Source organism: Homo sapiens, chromosome 4 (assembly GCF_000001405.40).
Source record: "Homo sapiens chromosome 4, GRCh38.p14 Primary Assembly".
NCBI classification, from domain to species: Eukaryota; Metazoa; Chordata; class Mammalia; order Primates; family Hominidae; genus Homo; species Homo sapiens.
The window spans coordinates 75,512,866-75,530,741 of record NC_000004.12 but is presented as its reverse complement, the minus strand read 5'-3'; the positions used below and the strand labels follow the sequence as shown (position 1 = coordinate 75,530,741).

The 17,876-nt window shown below is 37.6% G+C and overlaps 2 protein-coding genes across 27 annotated transcripts in view, besides 5 other annotated features; one reads left to right on the top strand and one right to left on the bottom strand.

The window, feature by feature from the left end:
• The window catches only part of THAP6 (THAP domain containing 6), a 33,421-nt gene extending 16,587 nt beyond the window's left edge, over positions 1–16,834 (bottom strand). For 2 of the 12 annotated variants that reach the window (XM_006714109.5, XM_005262774.5), the window contains exons 1-4: positions 16,222–16,269; positions 15,210–15,309; positions 13,763–13,970; positions 8,881–9,006 (exon numbers count right to left, since the gene is read on the bottom strand). In XM_006714109.5, the coding sequence (XP_006714172.1) occupies positions 8,881–9,006; positions 13,763–13,970; positions 15,210–15,289 (414 nt within the window). In that variant the 5' untranslated portion in view covers positions 15,290–15,309; positions 16,222–16,269. Of the gene's footprint in view, positions 1–715; positions 3,783–8,880; positions 9,007–13,762; positions 13,971–15,209; positions 15,310–15,750; positions 16,270–16,743 lie in introns of those variants that run through there. The other 10 variants (XM_011531667.4, XM_011531666.3, XM_047449653.1 and 7 more) reach the window with 10 other exon arrangements.
• Positions 15,369–16,299: an enhancer, noted in NCBI's record as "H3K27ac hESC enhancer chr4:76439653-76440583 (GRCh37/hg19 assembly coordinates)". NCBI's record gives its function as "activates a minimal SCP1, AML or CMV promoter by ChIP-STARR-seq in primed H9 embryonic stem cells {active_cell/tissue: H9 hESC(primed)}" and the evidence as "EXISTENCE:reporter gene assay evidence [ECO:0000049][PMID:30033119]".
• Positions 15,369–17,230: a biological region, named in NCBI's record as "H3K27ac hESC enhancers GRCh37_chr4:76438722-76439652 and GRCh37_chr4:76439653-76440583".
• Positions 15,574–15,793: an enhancer, noted in NCBI's record as "active region_21618". NCBI's record gives its function as "activates an Ori minimal core promoter by ATAC-STARR-seq in GM12878 lymphoblastoid cells {active_cell/tissue: GM12878}" and the evidence as "EXISTENCE:reporter gene assay evidence [ECO:0000049][PMID:35858748]".
• The window catches only part of RCHY1 (ring finger and CHY zinc finger domain containing 1), a 35,683-nt gene continuing 33,833 nt past the window's right edge, over positions 16,027–17,876 (top strand). For 5 of the 15 annotated variants that reach the window (NM_001278537.2, NM_001278536.2, NM_001387137.1 and 2 more), the window contains exon 1: positions 16,339–16,545. In NM_001278537.2, coding sequence (NP_001265466.1) covers positions 16,456–16,545 — 90 coding nt within the window. In that variant the 5' untranslated portion in view covers positions 16,339–16,455. Of the gene's footprint in view, positions 16,080–16,311; positions 16,588–17,876 lie in introns of those variants that run through there. The other 10 variants (NR_037914.1, NR_103724.1, NR_103723.1 and 7 more) reach the window with 5 other exon arrangements.
• Positions 16,134–16,613: an enhancer, noted in NCBI's record as "active region_21617". NCBI's record gives its function as "activates an Ori minimal core promoter by ATAC-STARR-seq in GM12878 lymphoblastoid cells {active_cell/tissue: GM12878}" and the evidence as "EXISTENCE:reporter gene assay evidence [ECO:0000049][PMID:35858748]".
• Positions 16,300–17,230: an enhancer, noted in NCBI's record as "H3K27ac hESC enhancer chr4:76438722-76439652 (GRCh37/hg19 assembly coordinates)". NCBI's record gives its function as "activates a minimal SCP1, AML or CMV promoter by ChIP-STARR-seq in primed H9 embryonic stem cells {active_cell/tissue: H9 hESC(primed)}" and the evidence as "EXISTENCE:reporter gene assay evidence [ECO:0000049][PMID:30033119]".

Sequence of the window (17,876 nt, the reverse complement as noted above, 5' to 3'; positions counted from 1 at the left end):
ATTGGGTGCATGGTTTTCCATCCCTATTAAAGGATCAGAAACAGCTCACATTCACATGGAAAAAACCACAGTATACATATATGGTCTTGTCCCCAAGGTTATGTTAATGATCTTGCTTCTGTTATAATTGAAAGAAGTCTAGACCAGACAGACATTCTATGGAAAATCACTTAGTTCACTCTACTGATGGATTATGTTAATCCAATGGGAGGACTAGTTAATTGGAGGCCTTGATAAAGCACATGTGCTCCAGATGGTGAGATAAAACTTATGAAATTCAGGGGCCTATAAACATCAGTAAAATTTTGGGGGAGAAGTATCCAGTGATCTGCGGCATGCTAAGACATCCCCTCTAAAGTAAGAGACAAGTTATTTACAACCTGTATGTTCCACTATGAAGAAGAAAGCACAATGCCTGACAGGCCTCTTTGGGTTCTAAAGGCAGCATATTTCACACCTAGGAATGCTGCTCTCCTTTATATACTGGGTGACATCATATCTGACAGTTTTGAGTGAGGGCCAATGCAGAAAAGGGCTCTATGATAGGTCCATATTGTGCTGAAAGCTGGCCTGCTACGTGGGTCATCTAACCTTGCAGACCCCATATTAGAGTTATTGGTGGAGGAGAAATTAGAGCAAAACCTCTACGTACGTACTCTTCATTTTTCTCTGCCCATTTTATTGAATAACTCAATGTATAAAACCACATAACACATTACTGGATAAAATGTTTTATTTTTCAAATAAATTATAATAGATTTTCTCTCTCTCAATTATTTCTGTAATAATTTTATCTTTTTATTAAAACTAAATATATATTAAATACATTTCACCTTTTCTCAAATTACAGACTATGGTATAACTGTAATTGTCATTAGCAACCAAAGTCTATTTCCAGAAATTTAAACTTGATATAGAGAAAAATTCCACGTATCAAGCGCTTCGTACCTGACTTGGTGCTGAGGTTGAACTGTTGTATTAATGTGTTCCTGGCTCTAGAGGCCACTCCTAGCTTTTAAAGCAAAGTGGAACCCTTAGGGTCAGGCTTGGCTGCCAGAGAAATTTCTGGAGGGGGATGACTTGGGTTTTGCTTTACACAGGCCAGTTCTTTCCTGGGCTAGGGTGGAATCTCTGGGAACAGAGGACTGAGATACATACTGTGTTTAGGCATTTGTTTGGAGCAGCAGGGAGGACCCTATTTTTAATCTCACATTTCTATCAGTAATTGCTTCCCTATTAGAACAAAGAGAAAATGGGCAGCTCTGGGTCCTTAATGATACCAATATTTTGCACACAGTTATTTATTTCTCAGTTATACTAGGTCCAGTGAAAAAGAAGTGCTGAGTCTACTATGAACACAAGTAGTAAAAGTGACTGTGGCAATTTTGATAGTGGCAGACTGGGATTTTACTCTTGGAAAGGTCTTCCAGGTTTGGTGTATTCTAAGCAGCCAGTAGAGTGCTAGAATTTAGACATACTGTGTTTGGATCTACCCTCTTACTTACTCCATTGTCTTACTTTAATTTATATATTCACAAATAGGGTGAGGGAAAAATAATCTCTATTGAAAACATCTCCATAAAACCTAAGATCATACCCAAACTTTCCATTAGGGTGGCCATTTATGAACTCAAAATTAAGTAACTAAAATAAATAATGGGTAATTAATGAAAGTAGTTTTGTTTTTTTGAGATGGAGTCTTGCTCTGTTGCTCAGGCTGGAGTGCAACGGCGTGATCTTGGCTCACTGCAATCTCCGCCTCCCGGGTTCAAGCAATTCTCCTGCCTCAGTCTCCCAAGTAGCTGGGATTACAGGCACGTGCCACCATGCCCGGCTAATTTTTTTTTGTATTTTTAGCAGAGATGGGGTTTCACCATCTTGGCCAGGCTGGTTTTGAACCCCTGACCTCAAGTGATCTGCCTGCCTTGGCCTCCCAAAGTGCTAGGATTACAGGTATGAGCCACCACCCGGCCTTTTTTTTTTTTAACTACCTTTTTACTACTTTTTTTTCAGATTGTAAAAAGATATGGCCTCAGTGATTTCCTCTTAGCATAACGCTGATCTCGCAGATGTGGGTTAAATCCCATTTAGAGGGAAGGTTTGGAATCCTACATAAAAGTATAACATGCATTAAAACAGAAAATTCTTAAATACAAAAAATTCAAGTGACCATATCTTAACTAATATTAATGTAACAAAAATAAAATTACAATAAACAACTGAGCACAAAATGCAATTCAATTTTTGTTACTACAATGAAATGGCTGATACTCAAATTCTAACTGCTACAACATGGACTTCTGAATGAGGTCCATGTATGTACATGTGCTTCTAAGTAGAGTGTTGCTTTGGCAAATGGTTTTTATTCTAACCCACAGTATTTATGACTCTCAATTTCAGTTGTTTTCGGTAAGGAATTATGACAAAAGCTAAATTTATGAGACTTGGATCAATTAGGAAATAACAAGGAATTATTCTTTTGCATATTCAGTAAGAAGCTATTCTAAAGCTGCTGTTTTAATTACCCGTTTCTCTAAATAAAAGCCTTTGGACAATAATCTACTCCCCTAATTAAAATATTCTAATCCTTTCTCTCCAATTCCTATTTCAACTGGAAGAGCCACAGTTATTAATTTCTAATGGTTTCTTTTGTATTTTGTATTTTTTTAAAATGTCAGCAATACTACTTTACATATAAAATACAAAGCAGTATTAAAAGTATAGAGCTAGTACTGCCATTCAGATTTTAAACATATACCTTTATGACGAAATAGTCATGAAGCAAAGTGTTCAGATCTGTCAGAGCAACCAACCATTTAAAAATCAGATCTACGATCCTTTTTGTCTTTTTAAAGCTATTCTGGTTTACATCAAAGTGCTCCTAGTGAGGAGGAATGATGTACTGTACTGAAAACTGAGACTTCATGAGGGGTCTTCTTAAATTGGCTGTGAACAATTTTAAAAGCCCACAGATCTTCACTATGTGTTATTCTCAGAGTCAATACCACAGGAAGCCTTGTAAAAAGATCCTTTGGTACTACTGATAGCTAAAGCACCTTGGATTGAATCCAAGATGGATATGCATTACAAATGAATTGTGCTTTGTAGTAAAATGCATTTAAAGTAAAATTCAATGTACTTACCATAAAGCACATGTAAGTAAAGGTACTCCTTTGAAGCCAAATATCTGGAGAAGTGTCCAATTCCTTCTACTATAGCTTAATGTGACTAATTTGACATCATTTCTTTAGCTCTGTGAAATTTTCTTGAGATTTTAACATCTTACAATAGTGACCTGGCACTAGTGTAGGTCTATAAAACATAATTGTCACAAGACACAAATACATAATTACCACAAATTTCTGCATATTTTCAAAAAAGTCTTTGGATAACAACTATAATGCATAATGCTCCAGAGAATCCAAAGCAGCACTTTAAATGATGGATATTATTTAGTGATGGTAAATGAGATTTTATAAAAATTTGTACCAATGACAATTTTAGGTGGAACGTAACATGAAATTATTTCATGAAATATAGTCCTGTTCTATGCTCTCCTGACAACAGTCCCAACAGAAAGTGTCCAGTCTATTTGCTGTTTCTTGGCTGATCAGACATTCATCCTTTAATTCCCTGATTGTCTTCCTCAATGATTTCTGAAAACGTTTTTCTCGGTCTAAAACATTCCGTAGACTTTCCTTTGTATCCTCTAGCTCGCCGATCACATGATCTAATTTATGCTTAAGTTTCTTTGGACTGTCCATTACACTGTAGCTATGTTCCTAAAAACATAAACACCAAGTTATTAAATCAGACAGATATGTAGTTGGATAAAAGCTTATAACTAGGTCTAAGCTGTTTCTTCATTTACAATGCCTGGAGAACATTTTTAAGTTGGTGATAGAGGTTTAAGGAACACAGGAAGAAGATGGGGGTAGAAGCAATATTTAGGGTGCTAAGGGCATCCCTCCTTTTACTAAGGCCAGGCATACACAAAGACTGCAGAATATTATGGATGGGAAGCACTTATCTCTATGAATAGCATGACACTTGCAATGACTCTACAGCTTTTGTTCATTCAATGTGGTGCTGCTAAGTTTAATTTTTACCTATCAAACAAATTTAAATTAAGTTTTTAACTGGGTTACTTTATTGGATGGCTATTGCATTTGATAAGGTGTGACAGGAAAAGAGTACTGCAGCAGGTTCTCAGGCTCGGTGTTGGGGATTTAGAGAGGACTCTGGTCTTGGAATTTTCAAGAGACAACTCCTCTTGGTGTTTATTATGGTTATGCTTAAATTTGCTGGGTATGCTTTTATTCCTTTTTCATTTGAGAATAGGGAAAATAACACTGACATAGCTTATAAAGGTACTATAAAATAATTTTGAAAAGCTATTATTTAATATTAAAATTAGTAAAGAAGACTTTTATTTCCAGCCAAGATGAAGTAACAGAGACTGGATTGACCCCTACCTCCAAGAACCAACACAAGGCTAAAAGACAGAAAAAAATAGCTCTTAAGATAATGGATATTTGGCAAGGACAGCAGCTATTGTGGACAGATGGGAAGCAAAGAGGTGAGACCTAAGACTGCTCCAGCTAACTGCCTGAGAGTTTCTCGGCCTCAGGGCAAGGAAGGGAAACCCAGGCAGAGCTTAGCAGACTGAGCTGAGGAGGTAGTGCAAAACATCCAGGGAGACCAAAGTAGCTACAGTTCACAGGACAAAGTACTAGACAGGTGAGAGCTGCACAGAAAAAACTCAAGATCTTCAGAGGCTCCCCTTTGAGTATTCCATGGAGTAAGATCAGCACATGCACATGAGGAAACTACTCAAGGCTGAGGAAAGAACAACCAGAGATTAGGAGTGCCCTGTGCTCACAGGGTATAGCCACTATTCCCACTAGCCAGACTTGAAAATGTCAAGATTCATGGACACTAAGTATGCAAAACAGTCTTGTCAAACAAAGTAAAATCTGAAAGGGTCGAACAGTTTCTAACTAACTGTACTCCAGAACAATGCTCAAGAAAACATGATACAAAAATATCTAGCATCTGGCAAATTAAAACCCAAAATTCATGGCATGCAAAATTTACCAGGCATGCAAATAAGCAGGAAAACATTAGTCATAATAAGAGATAAATCAATCAATGGAAACCAAGCCGGAACTGACACAAATGTTAGAATTAGCAGACAATTAAGAAAGTTATTAAAATTGTATTCTATATATTCAAAAAGTTAAGTACATAAAATATATAAAAAAGACTCTAATAGAATATCTACAGATAACTGATGTGTGAGGTAAAAAAATACACTGGAGAGAATGGCAGTGTATTTTTTGAAGAAGAAAAGATTTCGTGAATGTAAAGTTACAGCAACAGGAACTATCCAGTATGGACTACAGAGAGAAAAGGAGATAGAAAAAAAATAAAGCATCAGTAACATGTTGCACAATTTCAGACAGCCTAATATACACATAATTAGAATTCCTGAAGGAGGGGAAAAATTGGGATAGAAAGAAATATTTGAAGAAATCATGGCCAAAATTTTTCCAAGTTTGATAAAAAGTATAAACTGCTAAATAAAAAAGCTCAACAAATCTTAATTACAAGAAATATGAAGAAAATGAAACCAAGGCATATCATCATCAGATTAGGCAAAAGCAGTAGAAAAAAACAAAAATTATTGTCCAGCACGGTGGCTCACGCCTGGCCCAGCACTTAGGGAGGCCGAGGCAGGGGGATCGCCTGAGCTTAGGAGTTTGAGACCAGCCTGGGCAACATGGAGAAATCTGGTCTCTACAAAAACAAACAAAAATTAGCTTGGCATGGTGGCACATGTCTGTAAGTCCCAGCTACTCAGGAGGCTGAGGTGGAGGGATTGCTTGAGCCTGGGAGGTTGACGCTGCAGTGAGTTGTGAGTGTGCCACTGCACTCTAGCATGGGTGACAGAGGGAAACCCTGTCTCCAAAAATAAATAAATAAAAAATTTAAAAAAAGAAAAATTCTTAAAAGCAAAGAAAAAAAGAAGTATTAGGTACAGAGAATAAAGGTGAGTATGACATTAATTAAATTTTTCATTAGAAATGGTGCATGTAAGAATACAGCAGGGCAACGTCTTAAAAAGTACCAAAAACAACTGCCCCCGCCCCCAAAACTGTTAACCTAGAATTTGATTACCTAGTGAAAATATCTTTCAAAAGTGAAGATTAAACTTTTTAAGCAACAGAAATACTGAAAGAATTCATCACCAGCATAGTTGCACTATAGGAAATGTTAAAGTAAGTCCTGTAGGCAAAATGATAACAGGTGGAAATATGGACTGACACAAAGGAATGAAAAGCCCTGGAAATGGCACCTATATGGATAATATCAATTTTTTTCTTATTATCTAAATCTCTTTAAAGAATAATTTACTGTTTAAACAAAAATAATAACAATAATGGTGTGGAGTCTATAGCATATGTAAAAGTGAAATGCATGACAGCAATAGCACAAAGATTGAGAAAGGAAAAACGAAAGTATACGACTATAAGATTTTTGTACATAAAGGGGAGTAATACCACTTTAACATAGCCTGTGATAAGTTAAAGATGCCATAAACTTAAACACAAACACACAGACCAATGGAACAGAAAAGAGAACTCAGAAACAAATCCACACACCTACAGCGAACTCACTTTTGACAAAGGTGCCAAGAACATAAACTGGGGAAAAGACAGTCTCTTCAATAAACGGTGCTGGTAAAACTGGATATCCATATGCAGAAAAACTAAACTAGACCCCTACTTCTTACAATATACAAAAATCAAATCAAAATGGATTAAAGAATTAAATCTAAGACCTCAAACTATGAAACGACTACAAGAAAACATTGGGGAAACTCTCCAGGACATTGGTCTGGGCTAAGATTTCTTTTCTTTTTTTTTTTTTTTTTTTTTGAGACAGGTTCTCACTTTGTTGCCCAGGCTGGAGTACAGTGAATGCGATCAAGCTCACTGCAGCCTTGATCTCCAGGGCTCAAGCGATCCTCCCACTCAGCCTCCTGAGCAGCTGGGTAGGCATATGCCACCACCCCCAGCTAATTTTTTTGTATTTTTGGTAAAGATGGGGTTTCACCATGTTTCCCAGGCTGGTCTCGAACTCCTGAGCTCAAGCAATCTATCCACCTTGGCCTCCCAAAGTGCTGGGATTACAGGCATGAGCCATCACACCCGGCCTAAAGATTTCTTGAGTAATATCCCACAAGCACAGGCAACCAAAGCAAAACGGACAAATGGGATCACATCAAGTTAAAAAGCTTCTGCACAGCAAAGGAAACAATCAACAAAGTGAAGAGACAACCCACAGAATGGGACAAAATGTTTGCAAACTATCCATCTGACAAGGGATTGATAACCAGAATATATAAGGGGCTCAAAAAACTCAACAGGAAAGAAATCTAAAAATTCGATTAAATACTGGGCAAAACATCTGAATACACATTTTTTCAAAAGAAGACATAGGAATGGCAAACAGGCATATGAAAAGGTACGCATTATCACTGATCATCAGAGAAATGCAAATCAAATCTACAATAAGAAAATATCTCATGCCAGTTAAAATGGCTTTTATACCTAAAACAGGCAACAACAAATGCTGGCAAGGATGTGGAGAAAAAGGAACCCTGTACACTGTCGGGGGAAATTAGTACAACCACTATGGAGAACAGTTTGGAAGTTCCTCAAAAAACTAAAATAGAGCTACTGTATGATCCAGCAATCCCACTGCTGGGTGTGGTATACACCCTTTCCTTTCCAAAGAAAGGAAACCAGTACATCAAAGGGATATCTGCACTCCCATGTTTGTTGCAGACTGTTCACAATAGCCGATATTTGGAAAAAACCTAAGTGTCCATCAACAGATGAATGGATAAAGAAAATGTGGTGCTTAAACACCATGGAGTACTATTAAGCCATTAAAAAAAATGAGATTTAGACATTTGTAACAACACAGATAGAAATGGAGAACTTTATGTTAAGTGAAATAAGCCAGGCAAAGAAAGACAAACATTACATATTCTCACTTATTTGCAGGATCTAAAAATCAAAACAACTGAACCCACAGGGACAGGACAGTAAAATGATGGTTACGAGAGATTGGGAAAGGTAGTAGGATGGGGGGGAGGTGGGGATGGTTAATGGGTACAGAAATATAGTTAGACAGACTAAGATCTAGTATTTGATAGTACAATGGGGTGACGATAGCCAACAATAATTTATTGTATATTTAAAAATAACTAAAAGTATAATTGGATTTTTTGTAACATAAAAGATAAATGCTTAATGTGATGGATACCCTATTTACCCTAATGTGATTATCATGCATTGTATACCTAAATAAATCTCATGTATCCTATAAATATACATACCTACTATGTACCCACAAAAATAGAAAAAATTATTATAAACCTGTATTAATCAAGATAGTAAAAGAGATCTAGATTCCATGCCTGCCTCTAACATGAATAAGCAATGAGATGAATAAATAAATGCAAGCTTGAATACTCTGTATGTGTATGACTGAGAAAACTTAAATAGCTATTTTTTATTACATATTTCATACGGAAATTATAGCAGTTAGAGGGAAGAATTATTTCCTTGGTAGAAATATCCTTGCAAAAGCCTTCTTCAGTGAACTACATATGTAACCAAAGGATTAACTACCTCTATTTTGCTGTTGCATATATATAAATTACAATGACTCTAGGAAGCAATATTATTTGTAGATATTACATATTAACCCCTAGATTTTGCTAGGATTCTGAAAAATTTGATTGTAATGGAGAGGACATATTCATCTTAAAAGAATTAACATGAGCTCAGCAAGTAATTTACTTACAAAAATGAACTGGGATTGGAATTCTTCAATACATGAGGAAGCACCAACAAGATGGTGATTGTAGTTAGTGGCTGGAACGGTTTTGAGGGTGAAGTTTTTTCTACAATGAAGTTTTTCTCTTTTCCCCTGTTAAGAGTAGTTAATAATAATCATCAAGTGAGATACTTTTGTTCTTTCTTAAATTTTTATTCCTTCTTAACTTTGTATAGTGAAGTTAATACCACATTTCTTTTCATGGAAATTGCTTTTAAAAGTCAGCAAATTCCACCCAGATAATTTTAAAAGAACTTTCTGAAATCAACTCTAAGGTTATCTGAAAACACAAATTTTCCTAAAAAGGAAACACCCTACAAGCTATTAAAAATATAATATACAGTAACAATAATTAAAACAGTGTGTTCTTTTGTTAGGACTAGACAGAAAAACCTAGAAATAGATCATCAAGTAGATAGATGCCTTTAGGATAAAGGTGGCATTCTAAATAAGTAGAGTAAGGCGACAAACCATGTAAAAATCAACTAATTAAGAGAAGCAGTTGTATCCTTTATACATAATAAACCACAATGAAATTCCATGTACTGAAATTTTATGTAAAAAAGAAAACCATGAGGAGGTAGAAAAAATATAAAGAATATTTATATAATCTTAAAGTGAGAAAGGCTAACGTCATATAACACAAGAAAATATAGAATTGACTACATTGAAAAAAGCCTGAATTTCAAAAAAAAAATAAACCCATGCCGTAACTAGAACTGAAGACAAACAATAAAAAGTAACTGGGAAGGAATGTGGGAGAAAGGGGAGAAAAAAAAGGAACTGCAATGTAGATGGCAGTTAAATGATTCCTATCCTCAATATCCAGTGTTTTTACAAAACAGCATAGAAAAAGATAATAGAAGAGGACCTGAATAAGTAACTCACAAAAGAATACAAATATCCAATAAACACATGAAAAAACATAGACACGCACGAGTGTTCATAGATACATTAAAACAAAAAGATAACATTTTGCCTATCAATTTTAGCAAAGTTTACAAACACAACTTATACCAACGATTAGGGTAGGCAGACATTCTTACACATAGCTAGTAGGGGGATAGATTGGTGCAAGCCTTCTAATGAGGCTTTGGATGATCTTTATTGAAAGCAAATCTTTAAAAAGTGTATATAGTCTTTGATCCAACAATTTTATTTGCAGAATTTAGTTCAAGGAAATAAGGATATAAGCCAGCTACAATAATGTTCATTTTAGTCCTGTTTAAAATAAGGAAAGATGACAGCCTATACACAATATTGAAGACTGATTACACATACTATTGTTCATATGTAGGATCAACTACTATATGGTCAGTAAAAAATCGTCTATATAATTGACACCACCAACTACTATCAAGGATATGGAACCAAAGGAATTCTTATATGCTGATGGTAAGACTATAAATTTGCAAAAGTACTTTGGAAAGCTATGGCAATATGTATCCAAGCTGAACATCCACATCACCAGTAATTCCCACTTCTAATTGAAGCGTATATATACCCTATAGAAATGTGTACATAAATGGACCAAAAGATGTGCCCCGGCAACCTACAAAATGGGAGAAAATTTTCGCAACCTACTCATCTGACAAAGGGCTAATATCCAGAATCTACAATGAACTCACACAAATTTACAAGAAAAAAACAAACAACCCCATCAAAAAGTGGGCAAAGGACATGAACAGACACTTCTCAAAAGAAGATATTTACGCAGCCAAAAAACACATGAAAAAATGCTCACCATCACTGGCCATCAGAGAAATGCAAATCAAAACCACAATGAGATACCATCTCACACCAGTTAGAATGGCAATCATTAAAAAGTCAGGAAACAACAGGTGCTGGAGAGGATGTGGAGAAATAGGAACACTTTGACACTGTTGGTGGGACTGTAAACTAGTTCAACCATTGTGGAAGTCAGTGTGGCGACTCCTCAGGGATCTAGAACTAGAAATACCATTTGACCCAGCCATCCCATTACTGGGTATATACCCAAAGGACTATAAATCATGCTGCTATAAAGACACATGCACACGTATGTTTATTGCGGCATTATTCACAATAGCAAAGACTTGGAACCAAGCCAAATGTCCAACAATGATAGACTGGATTAAGAAAATGTGGCACATATACACCATGGAATACTATGCAGCCATAAAAAACGATGAGTTCATGTCCTTTGTAGGGACATGGATGAAACTGGAAATCATCATTCTCAGTAAACTATCGCAAGAACAAAAAACCAAACACCGCGTATTCTCACTCACAGGTGGGAAATGAACAATGAGATCACATGGACACAGGAAGGGGAATATCACACTCTGGGGACTGTGGTGGGGTCGGGGGAGGGGGGAAGGATAGCATTGGGAGATATACCTAATGCTAGATGATGAGTTACTGGGTGCAGCGCACCAGCATGGCACATGTATACATATGTAACTAACCTGCACAATGTGCACATGTACCCTAAAACTTAAAGCATAATTAAAAAAAAAAAAAAGATGTGCCCCAAAATGTTCAGAGCTGCACAATTTATAATAACCCCAGTGTGAAAAACTACCCAAACATTTATCAATAGTAGAATGAAGAAATTGTACAATGCAATACCATACAGCAAAGAAAATTAATGGACCAGTATCTCATGCTACAATGTGGATGAATCATACAAGATGTTGAGCTAAAGAAGCCAGAGTACATACTGTAGACAGGACTCCATGTATATAATTGACAGTGATAAAGTCAAGACAGTAGTGACTGGGAAAGCATGTGAGGGAGGCTTCTGGGTCACTTGCAATGTTTTATATCTTGGTCTGAGGGGAGTGACATGAGTGTACCCACTTTGTGAAAACTCATTGATTTGTACACTTACAAGCACTCTTCCACAAATATATTTTACTTCAACATAAAGTTTAGTTAAAAAAAAGTGATGTTCTACATAGGTTTCTCTTAAACATGTGATCCATAGATCTGCAGCACAAACAGATTGGGATGCTTTTTTAGAAAGTACACTCCAATTTACTGAATCTAATTCTCTGGAAGATGTAGGATTCTGTATTTTAAACAAACTCACTGGATAATCCTTACGTAGACTAAAGTTTGAAAGCTACGGTGTAGGAAAATATTTAATGTCATGGAGAGTAGTAGTTAATAGTAGACTCTGAAGTCAAAATGCCTGGGATCAAATCTAGCCTCTGCCATTTAATAGAGGTGTGACCCTGGGAAGGGCATTCTAGTTCTCTGGGCCTCAGTTTTCTCAAGTGATAAAATGAAAATAATAATAGTATTTACCTGACATGGTTCTTTCAAGGACTGAGTTAATAGACATGTAAAGTACTTGGAATAGTGCCTGGCACATAGTACACACTATTTTAAAAAACCCAATAAAGCAAATAAAGGAAAAGGTATACAGTATAATTCTATTTCCAGAAGATTATCTATATAAGTATAGATGCATATTTACGGATAATTACAAAGATACAGATCAAAGTGTTCACAGTATTATCTATGGATTATGTGATTATTTTATTTTTGCTCCTATAATCTTATTTTCTAAAATGAAAAATTTATTTGTTATAAGAAAATCAATAGTTTTTGAAAGTTGGTAACTTATGGTTTATTTGATTTATTATGCCCATATTTCTTAAGGTCCCCTTAACATTACGGCTAGATGACACCTTGGTGGTAGGAAAAAAAACAAAAGCCCTAGACCAACTTTCCCAAGATACTGTATATTTATTAGCACCGAAGAAAGTGAGGCATTCTCTACCTGATCACTCAGGTTCTACAATATGACCAACTGCAGAAAGTGACCAGGACTGCATGGGAGCGGGTACGCTTTTGGCTACTTCTCTTGTTTTTAGTTGCCAGGAAGGAGATCCCTTTCAATGGAGGCTCTCCCTGAATTTTCCACATTGGAATCAATCAATCAATGTCTATAGGTTCTAGAAATTCACTTTCAGGTATACAAAGTCAAGAGAGATACTGAGGGTGAGGCAGCCAACCCATGGGAATATTACCCAGAAAAAACATGGAATTCAATTAGCGTTTACTTATTTGACTGTTCTTTCTTTTCCTGACCTTTTCTTCTCCTGTTCTTAGATCTCTTTTTTGGTTTTCTTCCTTTTGATCCTACCTAGACTTTATGCTTGCATGTATGTGGCTCTTACAAGTACTTTAGTCCTGTTAGTGGTTCTACTCCTGACTTCTGCCCCAGTGTTAAGGACTGCCAACTTGGAACATCAGTTCAACCTTCTTACGTTAACTTCCATTTTTAGACAAAAATCTTCAGTTATGCTAATTCCTAAAGTCAGCCCACTTCATCAAACCTTAGTAATATACAAATATTTATGAGTGGTTACTGGTAAAATACTCCTACTACACATTACAAAAGTTGAAGATGCAGTCTACAAATTTAAAACTTCAAGAACAGACTTCAAATGAATAAGCAAACAATAAAAATGTTAGCAAGAGTGGTGAAGGTTCTTCAATAGTATCATAAAAAGTGAGCAATGGCCAGGCACGGTGGCTCATGCCTGTAATCCCAGCACTTTGGGACGCCGAGGAGGGTGGATCACGAGGTCAGGAGTTCAAGACCAGCCTGGCCAAGATGGTGAAACGCCATCTCTCCTAAAAATACAAAAATTAGCCAGGTGTGGTGGCAGGTGCCTGTAATCCCAGCTTCTCGGGAGGCTGAGGCAGAGAATTGCTTAAACCCTGGAGGCAGAGATTGCAGTGAGCTGAGATCGCGCCACTGCACTCCAGCCTTGGTGACAGAGCGAGACTCTATCTCAAAAAAAAAAAAAAAAAAAAGTGAGCAATGATGGTAAACAGTATCTCATAAACAAACCTGTAGGTGATATGGAGAATCAAAGATAGAAGGTATGACTCCAGGTTTCAGTTTAATATTTGGAGCACTTCTGTCAAAATCTGTCTTCTTAAAGTGCCTCGAACACAACACATCTCCTTTTTTAGGCTCCCAAATGCCGGCTGCATTCACATCAAGTCTTTTCATTGCTAATACCCATTTCCTTTTGATGTTTTCATCTGTGGGGAATCTAGAAAAAAAATACAAAAAATATTTTAAAATCAAATACTATTGCTATATAATTGAATTAAAGCTGCCTTATACAACTGTGACTAAATTGATTCGTTAACTAGTTTATTAGTCTTGAGAATTATAATATTTAGGAAACCATAATTCATGCTTTTGTTACTTTCCGTTTTAATATTCAGATTTTCTGCCAATCATGCTGCAGATATATGGCCCTCATTTCATTTTTTCTCACATTATAAGGAAGAAAAGTTTCAATGGATATTTAGCATCTTATAGTAAGATCCACAATTGAAGGTATTTATTCATCTATAGATGATAAAAGAATTATCACTTGGGCCTTTTCCTATCTGAAATGATATCCAGAATTTATCCTCGATAAAAAGGGCCCCTTGTAATTCCATTCTTCTGTCAGCACCAGAAAATTGCTTAGTACAGCATTTAATACATAGCAGGTCTACAGATGCTTAGTGAATGAATGCAGAGAATAGCTGCAGTGTGGAGTTCTGGAGATCAGAGCTATTTTGAGAGATATGAAGGCCTAATAGCCATATCTTACTCAATTTTCAAGCTGGTTCAAATTTTTCTAAAATAAGGTAGGATATATATGCTCAGTTTTGATTTATTATATCTAACAAAATAGCTAGGAGATCTTTCTCTAACACATAGGACAGTGCCTGGCACAAAAGCAGCAAAATAAACCTTTAACAAGTGAACAACTATTAAATCTTATTACTCCTTCACTTACTCCTTCATGGCTGTCAAGAGAATGGCTAAAATATGAAACTAAAATCATTTTGATTTATTTGCAACACAGCTAAAGATCCCTTGGTCTTAACTTGTAATTTGTATTTTTTCTCTATAACCTATGCTTGATCTACTTCTAAATAGAGAGGGCAATATATTCGAGCAAAGCTCCTTCATTCAGATTGTAAACTACATGTAAACAACATTGAATTTCTTTGGCGGTGTGATAAAATACAAAGTAATAATATTAGCAAAAGTTAGCCTTATGGTATTTTTTGTAAACCAGTCTCTGATATCTTAAAGTCTCTGATATCTTAAAACTTTTAAACTAAATTATAAACATGTAAAGGTATCACATTGTCACTTCAAATTTAACAAAAAGGTTATTTAAAAAGGACTCGGGAACTAAAGTTCAAAATTGAAGACTTAAGTAGAACTGTCTTTTGCTTTTTATAACATGGCCAAAGTATTTGGCTTAACTACAGCAAAATCTTACACGTGAAATGTCAGTCCTTTTAACTTCGAATTTGGCAAGCAGCGAGAAGCACATCCAATGGCGGAGCAGCATTTCACCATTTTAGCAACTCATAACAAAACTGAAAGAAAATTAGAATGTTAAGAGTTAGTAACCGGAAAGCTGAAGGGGAATATTTTCCCTTTCCCGGTGTTTTAGGAAACACAAAATCAGGATAGAAAGCTAAAGACAAATATCTTCTTCTAACACCTGCAGCTTTGCTTACATCATTTTCCAGGGCCTTGACTCTTTAATAAGGAGAAACATATTTAGCTGTGTACCCCGAGTATGATTTCAATTTTGTTGGCTTGTACATTTTCCTTCCACCTTCTAACAGGTACCATGTTCTTTGTGCCACAAAGCCTTTTGCACACTAACTCCTACCCATCTTTCAGCCCTCGGCTTGCATCGCTTCCCCAGGGAAGCCTTCCCTCACTGACACTCAGATTGTCAGAGCTGCTCTAATATTAGCTCTCACAGGACACACACTTCTTCCTAGCACTTCTCCAGGTTGTAATCTTACATTTATTGCAGTGATTGCTCTTATTAATGTCTTCCTCCTCCACCAGTCTTGTTAGTTCCATGAGGTCATGGTGGAGTGTGTCTATTTTTCCTTACTTTTTGTCCTCACGGTTTAGCTGGTGACTGGCAATAGTGAATGTCAGTACATATTTTGAAAGAACAGCAAGTAAACGGGAAAGGGAGGAAGCAAGAAGCACTTCGAGGTGCCAGCGAGCACCCTGGCGTCCAAGAGCAGCGCGCGGGACCCGCTGAGCCCAGGGCCCGGGCCGAGCTCCGCCCCTTTCTCCAGGCTCCCCGCCACCGGAGGGAGAGAGGGAGGACCCGTCACAGGTAACGATGCGCCCAGTGAGCGTCCTTTCCTCTGGGGCCAACCAGCGTCTCCGCGCCGCTGCCGCCAACCTCGCGCCGAACTACGCCCTGAGATTTGGGCGGGTAGCGATTGGGGGAAAACAGGCAACCTAAGAGTTATTACCGTTAGCAGCGAAGACTGCGACTAACGTCAACGACGGAGACTGCGTCTGCCTTCGCTTCCGCCTCGTAGCCCCGGGAACCGGAAATCCGTCTGCCCCGGGTCACGTGCTTAGGAGCCATATTGTCGCTAGTGGCCGCTGGGGCTGGGAGGGGTGTGCTAGAGAGGCGCAGCTTCTCTGGGCGTGGTTTTTATCCTGGGGGAAGGATCGGTGGAATGTGAGGGGAGGTGGAGGAGATGGCGGCGACGGCCCGGGAAGATGGCGCCAGCGGTCAAGAGCGAGGTCAGCGGGGCTGCGAGCACTATGACAGAGGATGTCTCCTAAAGGTGACGCCTTCTATGGACTCTTCCCTGACAAGCTTCCGTCAGGTTGGGCTGGGGCGGGCTGGGCAGGTGGTTAGGCTTGGATTTAAGTTTGAGGTTAACCTGATTTTCAGGATACCTTTTCCACCTGGAACTGGGTTCTTCTTGAGGAGAACGTTTTTGGCAAGGCGATAAGCCCCACCTTTCCTACCTGCTTCGTACCTTTAAAGCAAAACCCTTCTTGGGAAGTGATTAGGCTTGCACAGTGGTCTCTGCCAGTGGGCTTATTCGTCTTTTGCTGCCGAAGTAGACTGAGGCAGCCCCGGGCCTGTACTGGGGTTTTCCGTTCAGGTGTGTGATGAAATAATGGAAGTGGAGATAATGGAAATAAGCAAGTGGAGAACCCGAATACGATTTCAGCTCCTGTGGTAAAGTTTTATAGCCTGCCAGCTTCATGTTAAAGGCAGTGCACATGTTCAGACGTAGGAGAAAACGTGTGTCCCAAAAAAGAAGACAATCATGTAATTGCCATTAAATAGGAAATTATGCATAGGAAAGTGCCTAATAAGCATGTATTGTTACTCTGAGAAAACTTCTTAATCTGTATTTTTTTTTAAATTGGCACGTATTCAATTGAAGTTTCCTGATTTTCCTTGCAAGAAACAGTACAAAAATTTTGCTTAGAAAACTTGAGCTTTGGAACCTCAACCGCCCTATCCCCAAATCTTAGCTCTCCTCTTTAATAACTGATTTTAGCTAGCTCCTCTCTACCCCGTATGTAAAATGGAGATGATCGCGCCTGTTTCATAAAAGTGTATGAGGATTATATACTAAAGGGCGTGTATAGTGTTTAACAGGGCGCATTCCCTGAAGTAAATGAGTAGTAAATATATACCACCATGACTGTTACTATCATCGTCAATCTGAGTATTATTATTTTTTGTTCTTTCACTTCACAAGTCAGCCTTGCTGGTCACTGCCTCATTATTAGAAGCAAGTTCAAGTCTCAGGCCTGTACGTGCATCCTAAACTCTTTTCTATAGGTCATGGCTTGACGAACATTGCTCCACTGAACTGGATGAAGCTCCTTAAAAATGTTGGTCATCCACCAAGTGTTGTGTAAGGAAATTGAATGCTATCCTTATGATTCAATTTCTACTGAGATGTATTATTATTCTTTCAAACTTGAGGTCTAAAACGGAATTTAACATCTTGGTGCCCCCCATAAACCACACAATTAGATCTGTGTATCATAGCACTAAGATACTTCGCCCTAGGTGTCAAACAGTTTTTGCCTTCCCCCGCCCCCCCCCCCCCCTTAAATACCAGAGGCCAAGTGAAGTATTTCAAGGAGG